Here is a 16,396-nt window from a genome sequence, read left to right on the forward strand (position 1 = left end):
CCCTTCCTTCCCTCCCTTCCTTCCTTCCTTCCCTTAGCCTGCTTGGTGTTCTCTGAGATTTGTGTATTTGTAGTTTGCTGTTTGACCTTAATTTGGGGGACATTCTCACTCATTATTGTTTCACGTATATATTCTGTTCATTTATCTGTTTCTACTTCTGCTTGTATTTTCATTACACGTATGTTACACCTTTTGTAGTTGTCCCACAGTTCTTAGATATTCTGTTCATTTTTTTTCAGACATTTTCCTTTTGGCTTTTCAGTTTTGGAGGTTTTTTCTTCAGAGCTCCTCAAGCCTAGAGATCTTTTCCCAGCTGTGTGCAGTCTGTAAATAAGCCCATCAAAGGCCAGGTGTGGTGGCTCTCGCCTGTAATCCCAGCACTTTGGGAGGCCAAGGCAGGCGGATCACGAGGTCAGGAAATCCAGACAATCCTGGCTAACACAATGACACCCTGCCTGTAATCCCAGCTACTCGGGAGGCTGAGGCAGGAGAATCGCTTGAACCGGGAGGCAGAGGTTGCAGTGAGCCAAGATCATGCCACTGCACTCCAGCCTGGGCGACAGAGTGAGACTCCGTCTCAAAATAAATAAGCAAGCAAGCAAGCCAATCAAAGGTATTCTCTATTTCTCTTATAGTATTTTTAATCTCTATAAAAGAGATTATAGAGATTATAATTCTTTTTTATTCTTTCTTAGAATGTCCATCTCTTTGCTTACATTATTCATCAGTTCTTGCTTATTGTCTGCTTACTTTTTCTATTAAATCCCTTAGCATATTAATTATAGTTGTTTTAGGTCAGGCACATTGGCTCACATCTGTAAGCTCAGCATTTTGGGAAGCTGAGGCGGATGGATCACTCAAGCCCAGGAGTTCAAAATTAGTCTAGGAAACAGAGTGAGACCCTGTCTCTACTAAAATTTTAAAAATTTGGGTTTGGTGATGTGTACCTGTGGTCCCAGCTACATGGGGAGCTAAGACAAGGGGATCCTTTCAGTCCAGGAGATAAAAGCTGCAATGATCCTTAGTCATGCCTCTACATTCCAGCCTAGATGACAGAGTAAGCCCCTGTCTCAAAAAAATATATATAGTTGTTTTAAATTCCCAGTCTGATAATTCCAACTTCTCCTACTGTATCTGACTCTGATTCTGATGCTTGTTCAGTCTCTTCAAACTGTGATTGGCTTTTTAGCATGCTTTGTAATATTTTGTTGAATGGCGAACAGGATGTAGTGAGTAAAAGGAACTGCAATACACAGGCCTTTAGTACTGTGGTGGTAATGTGTTGGGGCAGGGCAAGTGTTCTATAGTCCTATGATTATGTCGTAGTCTTTTGATAAACCTGTGAAGCTGGAATATGAACGTCACTGGGGCATCTCAGTACCCTGACCCTAGATGGGACAGGATGGCTGGAGGGGGTTGGAGTTGGGTTTTTTCCTAACTTACCTAAGGTAGGTTAGGCTCCAGTAAAATAGTTTCTCCTAAGAGATGACCTTTTTTTTTTTTTGAAGAACAGAGTGCTCTGGTGTATTTCAAAATGGTTTCTTTTCCTGTATCCCTGCTAGAAGCAAAAGGTATTTTCTCCAGTTTTCACTGTGAGGACTTGGTAGAGCTCCTGGAGGTAAATCTCACAAGAGTGTGAGGTTCTCCATGTCTAGGTTTCCCTGGAATTGAATTTTTAACTCTCAAGAGTTGTTCCCTCTGAGCCTCCAGCAGTTCATCACAGTGCAGGCTTTTCTACCCTGGAACAAATTTCCACGGAGGTTCCTGTTGATGGGTTTCTGCCCTACTAAGTTGTGAGTCTCTGTATCTGCCTGTCTGTGTCTCCAATTTTGGGGTCAGTCATTTGCCCTGTGGTCTCACTTCTCTCATGGGTCTAAGAAGAGCTATTGATGTTTCAGGTCACCTTTTTACTTGTAGTGGAGCAGCCGCTTCCAAGCTCCTTACATGCCAGACTGGCCACGATTAATTTTAAGACTCTTTTCTCAATTGCTCCCTCACTAGTAGAAGTGGAATTTGCTTTCAAATCAGACAGAATTGATATCAGGTCCTACTACTTTTGCTAGCATGTTCTTAAATAAGTTAATTGACTTTTTGAGGCTTCAACATCCTCATTTTAAAATGAAGGATAACAATACTCACCTGAGAATTATTTCTGGGCTGTAACAGACTTTCAATATTATCATTTAGTGTTAATTCAACTAACGGTTTGGCCCAATGTAAATACATTTTCTTGCTTATCCCATGCCCTTCGCTCTACACTGAAAAAAAAAAAATTCAAATCACTGTATAATTTTTTTTCTTGCACTGGTATAGGAATGCCTAAAATTTTTATTTTGTAAAAATAGTACTCTATAACCATCATAGTCTTGCTTAATTTTTACAGTGTAAAAGAAAACCAAACAAAACACCCTGCTCTCAATATATGCTTATAGGAATTACATGTTTAGGTAATGATGGCTTTGTAAGTCAATTTATATTATAATCAGGAAAAGAATGAAAAGTTTGGATGTCTAACTTCAAAGCTCACTCCTTTGTAGTTTAATAAAGATGATATCATATCTTCAGAATGTTAAATGGAACAATTCTATTGAGGCCTAGGTTAGTTTCTGATTGTACTCAGGGTCTATCAATTTTGAAGCTGATTTTTTTTTGTCATCTAATTGACATGTCTCAGGATGGTATTTAAGGAATGCCTGAAAGCAATGCATAAATAAATCTGCCAGATTCTCAGTTCTGAAAGACCTTTTGTAATAAGGCAAGCCATATTATTTTTTTACAGTACGTAATTTGCCTGTTATGTTTCAAAATTAGAGAGCTTAAATTTTATGAATCTCTTGATACTCTTATTATGTCAGCTGAAACAAAAATCCTTTCACACAAAGGTAGTAATAAAAAGATGCTGTTCAATTATAATCATTTCTGCCAATGGTCAAATGACAATTACTAGAAAGGAAAATAATTTAACAAAGTAAAATGATATGGACAAGAACAAGTGGGGATTTAATTCTTGCTGTAAACTATCCAAAACCTTTCATTGTTTTTTCCTTTGCAAATGCTATTGCTTGCACTCATTCCTATATAGGAATTCCATGTTTTCTAAAAAAAAAAAAACCTTCAAAAAGGAGTTTATTTGTTCATGAGTTATGTCATTAATATGGACCAGGCACTGTGTAAGGCACCACACTTATGTAAGTGAAGAAATCAAACATGGTAATCTTCAAGATGTGCCAGGTTAGAGTCAATAGAAGACAGAGAAAACACCCAATGTAAAGAGCTTAAATTTTGATTATGCAGAAAAATAACGTGTGATATTTTAGCACCTTCTTTTAAGATTAAAAATAATATTACATATTAAAACATATCCAGATAATAAGTAAGTAGTATGTTTTATATTTCCCTGCCTTGGCCTCCCATTTTCTCATTCTCTCTCAGCTCATCTTCTGTCTGTACTTCTAGATCTCATTCGCCCATTCATTTATCCACAGATAACATATTTTTACTAAATTTTAAGGAGGTGACAGTAATTTTTATAATAAGTGCAGATCTTAATAGAAAAGAACACTAACATCTACCAGATTATAACCTCAGTTTAGAGGCTACGCCCTCAGTATATAAAACTTGTGTGCATTTAATAATTAGGATTCATGATCCTTTTGAGTTAGGACTCCAAATTTCTAATTGCTGGGATGTGCATGTTTAACATTGTCTGGTATTTCTTTTTTCTTTCTTTCTTTCTTTTTTTTTTTGAGACGGAGTTTTGCTCTTGTTGACAGGCTGGAGTGCAATGGTGCAAGGCGCGATCTAGGCTCACCGCAACCTCGGCTCACTGCAACCTCTGCCTCCTGGGTTCAAGCGATTCTCCTGCCTCAGCCTCCCGAGTAGCTGGGATTATAGGCATGTGCCACCATGCCCAGCTAATTTTTGTATTTTTAGTAGAGACAGGGTTTCTCCATGTTGGTCAGGCTGGTCTCAAACTCCCGACCTCATGTGATCTGTCCACATTGGCCTTCCAAAGTGCTGGGATTACACGCGTGAGCCACCATGACCGGCCCCATTGTCTGGTATTTCAATGGCTTTGTTGCATTATGCTACTTTGTAAAGTGTCAGCTGGGCTATGCTGAAGTATACTTTCCCAGAACACCACTTTCTGTATATACCTGGTTAACATAGGTCACACGAGTTGAAGTTGTCGCTTTCCCTCTCGCCAATCTCCAGACTGCCATCTGAGGCCTTCCTTGACTATCCAGTCTTCAGCCAACAACTTGAGTAGATCCCTAGCAAACAACAGAGGCAGCTTAGACAACCCACAGTATTATGAGTGAAGAAAGTGTTTTTGATTTAAGTCACTAAGTTTGAAGTAGTTTTTTATGCAGATGTATATAATAAAGGGGAGAGGAAAAGCCATAAATTGGAATAAGACTAGTTGTAATTATTCTGGCAAAAATAGATTAAATCCTTTAGGTCCAGTGTATAAAAATTTTATTTTGCAGGCCAAAATGTAGAGTACTAGATGAAATTTCAAGTGTGATGAAAGTAATTAGTTGAAGGAAATATGGTGGAAAATAGTGTTCTTATAATGTTTCTAAGTTGGCTTGAATATGATGTACTTCAAACTGAAATTTTATTTCAGAGGTGAAGAGTCATACAAACACTATTCTAAAATTTTAAGGCCGGATATGGTGGCTCATTCCTGTAATCCCACCACTTTGGGAGGCCAAGGAGGGCAAATCACTTGAGGTCAGGAGTTCAACACCAGCCTGGCCAACGTGGTGAAACCCCATCTCTACTAAAAATACAAAAATTAGCCAGGTGTGGTGGCACGTGCCTGTAGTCCCAGCTACTTTGGAGGCTGAGGCAGGAGAATCTCTTGAACCCAAGAGGCCGAGGTAGCAGTGAGCCGAGATCATGCCACTGCACTCCAGCCTGGGTGAGAGAGTAAGACTTCGTCTCAAAAAAACCATAAAAATAAAAATAAATAAATAAAAATGTTAAAAGATGTTATACATGGAGGATTGGTTCCTCAACCCCCTCATGTATACCAAAATCCACACATACTCAGGCTCTGCAGTCAGCTCTGCATAGCACATGAATAGGAAAGGTCAGCCCTCCATGTAGGTAGGCTATATCCTTCAAATGTTGTATTCTCATGTATAACGTTTGGTTGAAAAAAAATCTGTATAAGTGGACACATGCAGTGCAAACCCCTGTTGTTCAAGGGTCAACTGTAATTCAGTTTTGAAGGTCTTTAGATATTTATTCATCATAATAAATACTTATTAAATTATTTGTTTTATGTAACATGGAATTGGATAGAATCTATTCAATTGGAATATCTCGTGAAACATTTTATACCACTTAAATGGCATATCCCATAGTTCTTTTGTGTTGAACGTTTACCTGACTTATATTTCTTTTGATTTTCTTATATTTTTCATTTAAAATCCTTGTTCCATATAGACCTGTGCTTTTCATAGCATGTAACACTGACCATCTGTATCAGAAACAACTAGAATGTTTGAAATGCAGATGTTTGGATCTACCTTAGAGCTTCTGAAACAGAGGCTAGGGATGTGTTTGGAAATTTTCTTCCTTAGCAAGTGTTCATACAAATTCTAGAGTTTAAGAATTTTTGCTATAGACCTGGCACAGTACTAGGTACTAAAAAAAGTGTTTTTTAAAATGATTGATAAATTTAGCTGAAACTCCAATTTTAATATAAAATTTGTCTAAAGAATTTATGTAGCAATAGTTCATGCCAACATTCCCGAATAAATCAATCTCTTAAAGTTTGTTACATTGAATGGATATTTTTTCAAGTAAATAGTTGAATACAATGGAACAATTATGTTTTTATTTGTATAGCTAACTTTTAAAAAATTACTGGATAATTTTCCTCTAACTATTTAGTATAACACTGCATAGATAAAGCGTGGTTTAATATGTAGTTACCATTGCAATACCACAAGTTACCCACCAAGCTGGGTCTATGATAACTAGGAAACCACCTCTAACTGTCAAGTAAGAATTAAAATGAGGAAAGCAGAAGGTCCTGGCCAAATGAAAAGGATTTTGGAGATTGATATTGAAGTTCTTAAACTTGTATCTGTATGGCAGATGTGTGTACAGACTCCGTATAAAACGGAAATTCATAATAACTTAAATCTAAGTACTTAGCAATTTTGCATAAGCCCATCTCTATTTTTAAAACAAAATGATGAAACAAGTTTTAAGGCAGACGTCATCATTATGTTAATACCTTGAGGGAGGAATTGGAAACAGCAATAAATAAACTCTGCATAGATGTTAGTTTAAAAATGCAGTGGTAGAAATGATCTAAAGAACATCTGAGGAGCATGATTAAAATGGAGTCTTGTGTGGTCTGGAAGAAATAAAATGCTCAACAGAGCTTAGCCATTCCTCAAGGGTGAGTCCTTGACTTTATAAATATTTCATTAATTCTGCCCCAACATAGTAGCAAACTATAGTGTGAACTAAACTCTAAGAATCAAGAATAGAAGAATGTTACTTGTAGCTTAGAGAAACAGCAATACCCCTTCCTACTGTGTCTGTACTCTGCTTTGCATATTCATAGTTGCTTCTGTTATCCACTCAAGAGAGTAAAATTACCAAGGCTTTCCTTTTATATGTATTTGATCCCAATTCAAAAATTAAAAATGAGAAAAATTCCTTACACCTTTTCAAATCAACTAAAACAGTATTTTCTAGCAACAAAGACCAGTGACAACCATAATTTCAGGAACAGGTACACAACTGGAAGGAGAGGAGGCTGAGGTTACCTTTCTGTTGCTTTAAGTATCTATATCCTTACCAAGGAGAAATTCCCAAACGAATCCAAACTAAGGAGATGTCTTTTTTTCTGTTGAGAATATGTTTCTTAGTGATGAAGCTTCCATTGAGTGTGTGTCATCCAGAGTAGAAACATGTTTTCCAGTCTGGTTTGTAGATTTCTCAGAGCCCCTTTTGATCCTTTTAATTTTATTAACTGAAGTGGAAACCTCTTGACATCAGAATTTTTGCAAAGTTTATTCCATATTATAGCTCTTGAAGACCTTTAACTGCCTAGCAGTTGATCCAGATTGTCACCTAATGAATAAGAAAATCTTCCAAAGTTCCTAGCATTTGAAGCCATTAGTTGCCATAAACTCAGAAACGATTATATTATCCTTGCAAAAACAAATTGAAACCTTAGGTTTATTCTACTATTTTTCCATTATAAATAGGGGCTTTCCAGCGTCACTAAAGAAGTACACTTGCCAAAAATGTTAAACCTGTCATTTCTTTGGACCAGTTTACAGAAAATACAGGGTATAGAGGAACAAGTCAAACAACAGAATAAGCAACCAATTAAAAAAGAAAAAAAAAAAAAACAGAAAATGAGACCACCTACAAGTCCCAGTCTTTTCAATAAGCTGATATATTGAATAAAAGACAAGTTGAGGAAGGGAAACTTTAGCAAATTAAAAAAGATTTTAGAGACAAAACAACCAGATGAAATATATATTCCTTGAATGAATCCTGGTTTGAATAAACTAGCTGTAAGACATAACTCTGGAGCCATTGCAGAAATTTAAATATGTACTGGATATTAGACAATAAAGATGTTCCCCTTTATCCTTGGTTTTGCTTTCTGAAGTTTCAGTTACTAGCCATCAACTATTGTCCAAAAACATTAAATGAAAAATTTGAGAAATAAACAATTCATGTTTTAAGTTGCATGCCATTGTGAGTAGCTTGATGAAATCTTGTGGCGTCTCACTTTGTCCTGCTCTGGACATGAATCACCCCTTTCTCCAGAAAATCCATGCCCTCTATGCCACATGCCCCTGAGTCACTTATAAGTCCTCTCAGTTATTGATCAACTGTCGCAGTATCTCAGTGCTTGTGTTCAATAATGCTTATGTTACTTCATAATGGCTCCAAAGTACAAGAGTAGTGATGCTGGCAATTTGGATATGCTAAAGAGAAGCCATAAAATGCTTCCTTTAAGTCAAAATGTGAAAGTTTTGCACTGATTAAGAAGAGAAAAAACATCATATGCTGAGGATGCTAAGTTCTAAGGTAAGAATTAACTTTCTATCTATGAAATTGTGCAGAAGGAGAAATTCATGCTAGTTTTGCTGTTGTACCTCAGACTCCAAAGGCGAAGCCACAGTGCTTGATCAGTGCTTAGTTAAGATGGAAAAGGTATTACATTTGTTGGTAGAAGACATGAATAGAAATGATGTTTGATTGATGGCACTGTGTTGAGCCAGAAAGCATCGATCCTATATAAAGGAAGACTTTAGCAATGGGATCTCCTGAAACAAGTGACACAGAGCGATTTATTTCACATAAGGGGTGGTTACTAAGATTCAGGAACACAGAAGGTCAGTAGTAGCCTAACACTACATCACTACGTCACTTACCTCACTTCATATCATCGGATAGGCATTGTATCATCTCACATCATCACAAGAAGCAGTGTAAGTACAGTACAATAAGATATTTTGAGAGAGGGAGAGAGGGCACATTCCCATAACTTATTACAATATATTGTTCTAATTCTGTTTTGTTAATTATTGTTAATCCTTACTGTGTCTAATTTATACGTTAAACATAAGTATGTATGTACTTATAGGAAAACACATAGTATATATGGGGTTTGCTACCTTCTTTGGTTTCAGGCATCCACTGGAGGTCTTAGAACATATCTCCTATGGGTAAGGGAGGACTATATTTAAAAATTATTATTTTGTCACATTTGATAAAGATGTTGTGATAATTAAGTTTATGTCTCGACTGGGCTAAGGGATAGCTGATAAAACATTCTGTTTCTGTGAGGGTAATTCCAGAAGATATTAGCATTTGAATGTGTAAACTAAGTGAGGAAGATCACCCTTACCAATGGAGGTGGCCGTCACTCAATTCCTTGAGGGCTTGAATAGAACAAAAAGGTGGAGAAAGGTCAAATTTGCTCTATCTGCTTGAGCTGTGCCATCCGTCTTCTCCTGTCCTTGGACATTAGTTCTCTTGGTTCTCAGGCCCCTTTGAACTCCATTTCTCAGGCCTTTGGACTCTGTCTGGGTGCATTAGTCTATTCTCACATTGCTATAAAGAATTACCTGAGACTGAGTAATTTATAAAGAAAAGAGGCTTAATTGGCTCTTGGTTTCACAGGCTGTATGGGAAGCATGGCTGGGGAGGCCTCATGAAACTTATAAACATGGTGCAAGGTGAAGAGGAAGGAGACATGCTTTACAAGGCCACAGCAGGAGGAAGACAGTGAAAGGGGCGGTGCTACACACTACAAACAACCAGATCTTGTAAGAACTCACTGTCACGAGAACAGCAAAGGGGAATTCTGCCCCATGATTCAATCACTTCCCACCAGGCCCCTCCTCCAACATTGGGGATTACAATTCAACATGAGATTTGGGTGGGGACACCAAACTATATCACTGGGACTTAACACTATTGGCTCACCTGCTTCTCAGGCCTTGGGGATTGAATGGAACTTCACCACTGGCTTTCCTGGGCCTCCAGCTTGTAGATACCAGATTGTGGAACTTCTCAGCCTTCATAATAGTGAGCCAGTTTCTCATAATCAGTCTTTTTCTGTGTATGTATATATATATCCCATTGTCCTGGTTTCTCTGGAGAATTCCAATCTATACAAGTGTCACAGTCATATAGAAACATAGCTTACTTTCTAAATATATGTACCTTAATATTTAAAGATAAAATGTCATGATAAATGTAATTAAAACATGTAAGCAAAAAATATCAATTAGATTGATGAAGCAAATATGGCATAGTATTTATTAATGATTAAATCTCAGTTTTAATTATATGGTTTCATTATACTATTTCATATCTAATTTTTTGAAAATGATAGTAAAATTAAAAAAGGCATACATAACCTTTCATAGTGCATTAATTATTTAGAATTTTTTGAATGAGAATAGGCTTTATATATAATCTAGAAAGTATGAGTTTTAGTAGCAAAGGATGTTTACCTTAATATTTAGAGATCTGCATTCAGGTAAAATCATGGATAAGAGTCTAGTCCAATTGCTTTTCACTCTCAAACCAGGATTTAGTCAAGGACTTTTCAATCCTATTTAAAATAAGAACAATAATCCTTGTCACCCTCCCATGTCAAAGGGGTGTTATAATGATGAATGAGCTCCAGGAATAGATTTAGCCTGCTGATATATTTGTAACCCATATGGCTACATCACCCTTTGACTTTTCTAAGAGGAATGGAAAATCGCTACATTTGGTATGCCACAAATTAAATTTCTGTCAAGTTTGGCTTTAAAAACCACTCTTCTAGCACCTCAGGTTTTCATAAGCTGGCAAAGAATCTTCATAGGATCCCAAGGAGGTAACTAATGTTGTAACACTAGTAGTGAATGATTTTGTGTAAACTGAAATAAAACATTGTTGGCATTTGAAAAAGAACTACTTTTTCTTTTTAAAAATAGCTTCATTAAAGTATAATTGACATAAAATCCTATATATATTTAATGTATGCAATTTGATAAGTTTGGGCACATGCATACACCCGTGAAACCATCACCATAATCAAGCTAGTAAACAGTTCCATCACCTCCAAAAGTACACTTATCCCCCCTTTCAGAAAAAAAATATATGTATATATTTTTTTGAGACAGAGTTTCACTCTTGTTGCCCAGGCTGGAGTGCAATGGCGCAATATCAGCTCACTGCAACCTCTGCCTCCCCAGTTCAAGTGATTCTCCTGCCTCGGCCTCCTGAGTAGCTGGGATTACAGGCATGTGCGACCACCCCCGGCTAATTTTGTATTTTTAGTAGAGACAGGGTTTCTCCATGTTGGTCAGGTTGGTCTCAAACTCCCAACCTCAGGTAATCCACCCACCTCGGCCTCCCAAGGTGCTGGGATTACAGGCATGAGCCACCTCACCCAGCCATTTTTTTTAAATTGAATCAGCTTTAAAAATTATTTGGCAGTGCTATGCACCCTATGTAAGTACTGAAACAACCAGAGATATTTAGTAGAGGGTCAATATTTTTAGTACTGATTACATCACAGCAGTAATAAGTTAATAAATAAAGTACAGAAAATTATTACTTAGTTGTAAAATTCCTTAACTCCTAATATCAAAAGGTATTTATTAAGTACTTTATATGTGTATAAATGTAGTGAAGATTAATCCAGTACATTTGCGTTAGAAACATAATTACACTGTAATCTAGTAGAGGATTTTTTTTAAGTTGTTCAATCCAGTTTAGATAATATTTACCATAAATCTTTATCCCCCATGTCAGGTGGCATTTTCATAATAGCCTGTTTAGGAAAATTCAGCTATTTTTCTTTTGGAATTAATGTCTGTGGCTAGTCTTAGAGAAAATTCTTGGCTTTCTTTTCATTCAAAGAGAAAAATAGCCTGGGTATTTATTTATTCTTGATTCCGTGAGCTGAGATTACATGGAGTGTACCCTAGGTACAGGGTTTGAAAATTAAAGGTAGAGATATCCTAAGTACAAATGAACTTGGAACTGAAGAGTATCCTAAACATCCAAACAAAATGATAGAGTAAGAGAAATTAAATTTTATTCTACTCAAAAATGAGAGGTTTTCAACAGAGGTCAGATTGAGAACAATGATTAAGAAACAAAAGCAGAAGAGACAAGGGCTTTGTAAACTCCTCCTCACTCCGTCAGGGAGGGTGCTGTTTTGGGACTAAGGCTGTGCAGATGTCACTAGAGCTGAGCGCTATGTGTTAGTTGAGCTGAAATACAGTGTAATGGATAAATTTCTTGTACTTAGAATGTCCTGAGAGCAACCCACTTGTAAAAGAGGACCTCATATAAGGAATGTCCTCCTAGGAAAACAGTATGTACCAATCAGGAGGCCTCTGGGTTCTGTGAAGAAAATATTTGGTAATTAATCATGCCTTGCAACAGGGTGAGAAGTTTTACTGAATGGTGGATCTCTGAATTGATATAATCTCAATGCTTACAGTCTTACTTTAGAAACTAAAGAAGTTTAAAAGGCCAAATTGAATAGTATTTGGCATGCAGCAACAAAGTCAGCAATTGCTAAGTAGTGTGATCAATGCTTCCACTCCACAATTTCAGAAAAAGAATAATCATTATAGCATACACAGAATTGACAATAATCATAACCATAATAACTTCTACTTGGTTTATCTATCTGATATAAGGTAAGTAGAGATTTGGTTATGTTATAGTGCTTCTAGTTGTGACAGCATAACACAGATCAAAGAAATTTTTTATAAAATTCATTGAATATTAAATATTATTAGGGTTTGATAGTGTTCACCAATTTCATGTGTTGAAAACTTAATCCCCAATGTGGCAGTATTGAAATTGGGGCCTTTACGAGGTGATGGGATTATAAAGTCTCCACTCTCGTGAATGGATTCATCCATTCATGGATTAATGGAATAGTGGGTGTTCACGGGAGTGAAACTGGTGTCTTTCTTTTTTTTTTTTTTTTTTGAGATGGAGTCTTGCTCTGTCGCCCAAGTTGAAGTGCAGTGGCACGATCTCAGCTCACTGCAAGCTCCGCCTCCCGGGTTCACGCCATTCTCCTGCCTCAGCCTCCCAAGTAGCTGGGACTGCAGGCGCCTGCCACCACGCCCGGCTAATTTTTTGTACTTTTAGTAGAGACGGGGTTTCACCGTGTTAGCCAGGATGGTCTTGATCTCCTGACCTCGTGATCTGCCCAACTTGGCCTCCCAAAGTGTGAAAGTGGTGTCTTTATAAACAGAGAAGGAAAGACCTAATCATGCATTCTGGCATACTCAGATGCCTTGCCACGCGGTACTCTGTGCCACTTCAGGACTCTTCAGAGAGTCCCCACCAGCCAGAAGTCTCTCACTAGATGTGATCCCTCCACCTTGGACTTCTCAGCCTTTATGAATGTAAGAAATAAATTTATTTTCTTTACAAATTATCCAAGTTCAGGTATTCTGTTATAAACAGAAAACAGACTAAAACAAACATTTACTAGTGGGTGGAAACAACATATCAGCAAACATCCCTAAATGATAATAATATTTTCGTTGCAGTTACAACAATGCTTACATTTGCATGTATAACTTAGGAACACATTCAGATGAAAGTCAGAAATCCTGACTTAAGGTGACTTAAAAGAGAATTTATGCTTATATATTTTTTTCATGTAGCAATTATATCTGAAAATAAGAGCTGTGATACATGAAAAAATGCTCATCATTACTGGCCATCAGAGAAATGCAAATCAAAACCACAATGAGATACCATCTCACACCAGTTAGAATGGCGATCATTAAAACGCCAGGAAACAACAGGTGCTGGAGAGGATGTGGAGAAATAGGAGCACCTTTACACTGTTGGTGGAACTGTAAACTAGTTCAACCATTGTGGAAGACAGTGTGGCGATTCCTCAAGGATCTAGAACTAGAAATACCATTTGACCCAGCCATCCCATTACTGGGTATATACCCAAAGGATTATAAATCATGCTGCTATAAAGACACATGCACACTTGTGTTTATTGTGGCACTATTCACAATAGCAAAGACTTGGAACCAACCCATATGTCCAACAGTGATAGACTGGATTAAGAAAATGTGGCACATATACATCATGGAATACTATGCAGCCTTAAAAAAGGATGAGTTCATGTCCTTTGTAGGGACATGGATGAAGTTGGAAACCATCATTCTGAGCAAACTATCACAAGGACAGAAAACCAAACACTGCATGTTCTTACTCACAGGTGGGAATTGAACAGTGAGAACACTTGGACCCAGGGTGGGGAACATCACACACTGGGGCCTGCCATGGGGTTGGGGGAAGGGGGAGGGATAGCATTATGAGATGTACCTAATGTAAATGACAAGTCAATGGGTGCAGCACACCAACCTGGCACATGTATACCTCTGTAACAAACCTGCACGTTGTGCACATGTAACCTAGAGCTTAAAGTATAATAACAACAATAATAATAAAGAATTCTGGTAAAAAAAAAAACAAGAGCTGTGATAATGGTTACTATGTGCAACGACATCAGGAGAGGTATCTCCACAATTTTCTTGGTCTTTTCCTTATGATGGCAAGATGGCTGCTCCAACTGTAGAAATCATGACCGTATTTAGAATATAAAAAAGGAGAGCCATGTTGCCCCAAACATACCCATCTCCTTTAGTAGGCAAGCTAAAGATTTCCAAGAAATATCCCTACTGAACTTTTCCTTATGTCGGTGAGCTAGAACTGAGTCACATGATCAGTTGTAGCTGTAAGAAAAGAAATATCTTGTGTCTGACAATGGGAAGCAGGATTATCATGCTTAGTTTGGATTAATCATAATTCATTGCTAGGGGCTTCGTATATTACTGCTCTGAATATAACCAAATTTCTGGTATCAAGGAAGGGCAGAGAAAACGGAGATATTGCTGAATAGGTAAGAGAATGCCATGGTTTCCTCAAATATCCGCTATATGTAGAAGGTCATTTTATGCTTATTCAACACAAAATCTTAGGCATATATGCCAAGCATGGTAGTACGTAATCTGTTAGGTAGCTAAAATATATGCAAAATAATGTTAGAGATAAAATACATTTTAAAAGTACTGGTTTACATAGTCTAGAGAATTAAAACGTAAGAGTTTATTTGAACATTTTTAAATTTTGTTTTACTGTAAGTTCTGGGATACAAGTGCAGAACGTGTAGGTTTGTTCCATAGGTATATGTGTGCCATGGTGGTTTGCTGCACCCATCAACCTGTCATCTAGGTTTTAAGTCCCGCATGCATTAGTTATTTGTCCTAATGCTCTCCCTCCCCTCACCCCTATCCCCCTCCCCTGCCCCGACTGTCATGGTGTGTGTTGTTCCCCTCCCTCTGTCCATGTGTTCTCATTGTTCATCTCCTTCTTATGAGTGAGAACGTGCAGTGTTTGGTTTTCTATTTGAACTTTTTTATGTTTGTGTTTATATAACTCCTGTGCTATGTAAAGGAAAATATCTAAAAACTATAAAACAACCATCGAATTAATATGATCAGAAAACCAATGTAGTACAATAAAAACAACAATGGCATAGTAGTTAAAATATACAAAATTCTGTAATATCCACCACTAGTGAGTGGTATGACTTTGGACAACTTCTGTTTCCTGCCTGGTGTTTGGTTTCTTATTGATAAGTTGTATCTCTGGAGTTCTAATTAACTCACTCTAAAACTCATGATGCTAATTAAATAGATATAAGGCCTGACCTAGATTTGATTATCATATATGATTCTGTTGTTTAAAATTAAAAGATGATTAAACATATTCTTTTACGGCTTAAATAAAAAATTATATGTTAAAGTTACTATTGAACTTAATAAATTATAATTGAACTTATATTAATAAGCCACATTAAACTTATTTTGTACTTCAAAAATATTTTTAGTGTAGCTTATTATGAACACTCAACTCTATAGAAGAAATTCTCTATATATTAAACTGAGACTTGCCAAATATTTAGTTGTTTTCATGTCTTAAAATATACCTGTTGTGAAAACAAAACAAGAAGATAAATATTATAAATTTAATTTATTTAGCATATCATACAATTATAAAATGATTATAGTTTTCCAAAACTAGAAATATTACACCTAAATTTTAATAATTTTCTTGTAGTTGTACTATGTTTTCAAAAAATATAGCAGATTTTGTGAAATTATCCATTAGTATTTTTTATACTTTTCTTACACTTAGGATTCAAAAATGTAGTATATGAGTCACTCTACATTTGTTACATTAATTAATTATGGCTAGGAAATATTTTGTTGCATTTCTAGAAGATATTTTTTCTTCCTGCACTCTCTGCCTGTTATCTGCATTGTGTGTATATAGTAGTTACATTTGAAAACCCATTTATAGTACGGGTTATAGTTGAAAATGTTCTTGTAGTTTAGCAACATTGGCATTATTTTCTAATGTCAAAAATATAAATAATGAATAAGGTGGAAGGAGTTGAATGAGAAGGCAACTTTAAAGTTCAGGGGTAAAAAAAATTATGTCTAATTTTATAAGTACAAGCATTGTGGCTTGTTCAATCAGTGCATTCAAATATATTTCCTGAAATTTTTAAGTTGTGCTTAATCAAATGGCTGTGGAAATAGCCCTTGAGCAAAACTATATGCAGCTTTTAAAATTAAGTCCTTAAAGCTATAGAGTCTAACAAGTAACCTTTAGTCAGCAAAGTTAGGAAATATTTGACACCTGGGAATTTTCTTTTGGCATTATTAGGGTTACAGGTATAGTCAAAATATTCATGTCAGAAAGATTTTTCAATGAAAATTCCAGATGTTTGACAAATGTGTTGCCTTCTAATCCTCTTTAGACATATGCTATACGT

This window comes from Homo sapiens, chromosome 7 (genome assembly GCF_000001405.40).
Source record: "Homo sapiens chromosome 7, GRCh38.p14 Primary Assembly".
Taxonomy (NCBI): Eukaryota; Metazoa; Chordata; class Mammalia; order Primates; family Hominidae; genus Homo; species Homo sapiens.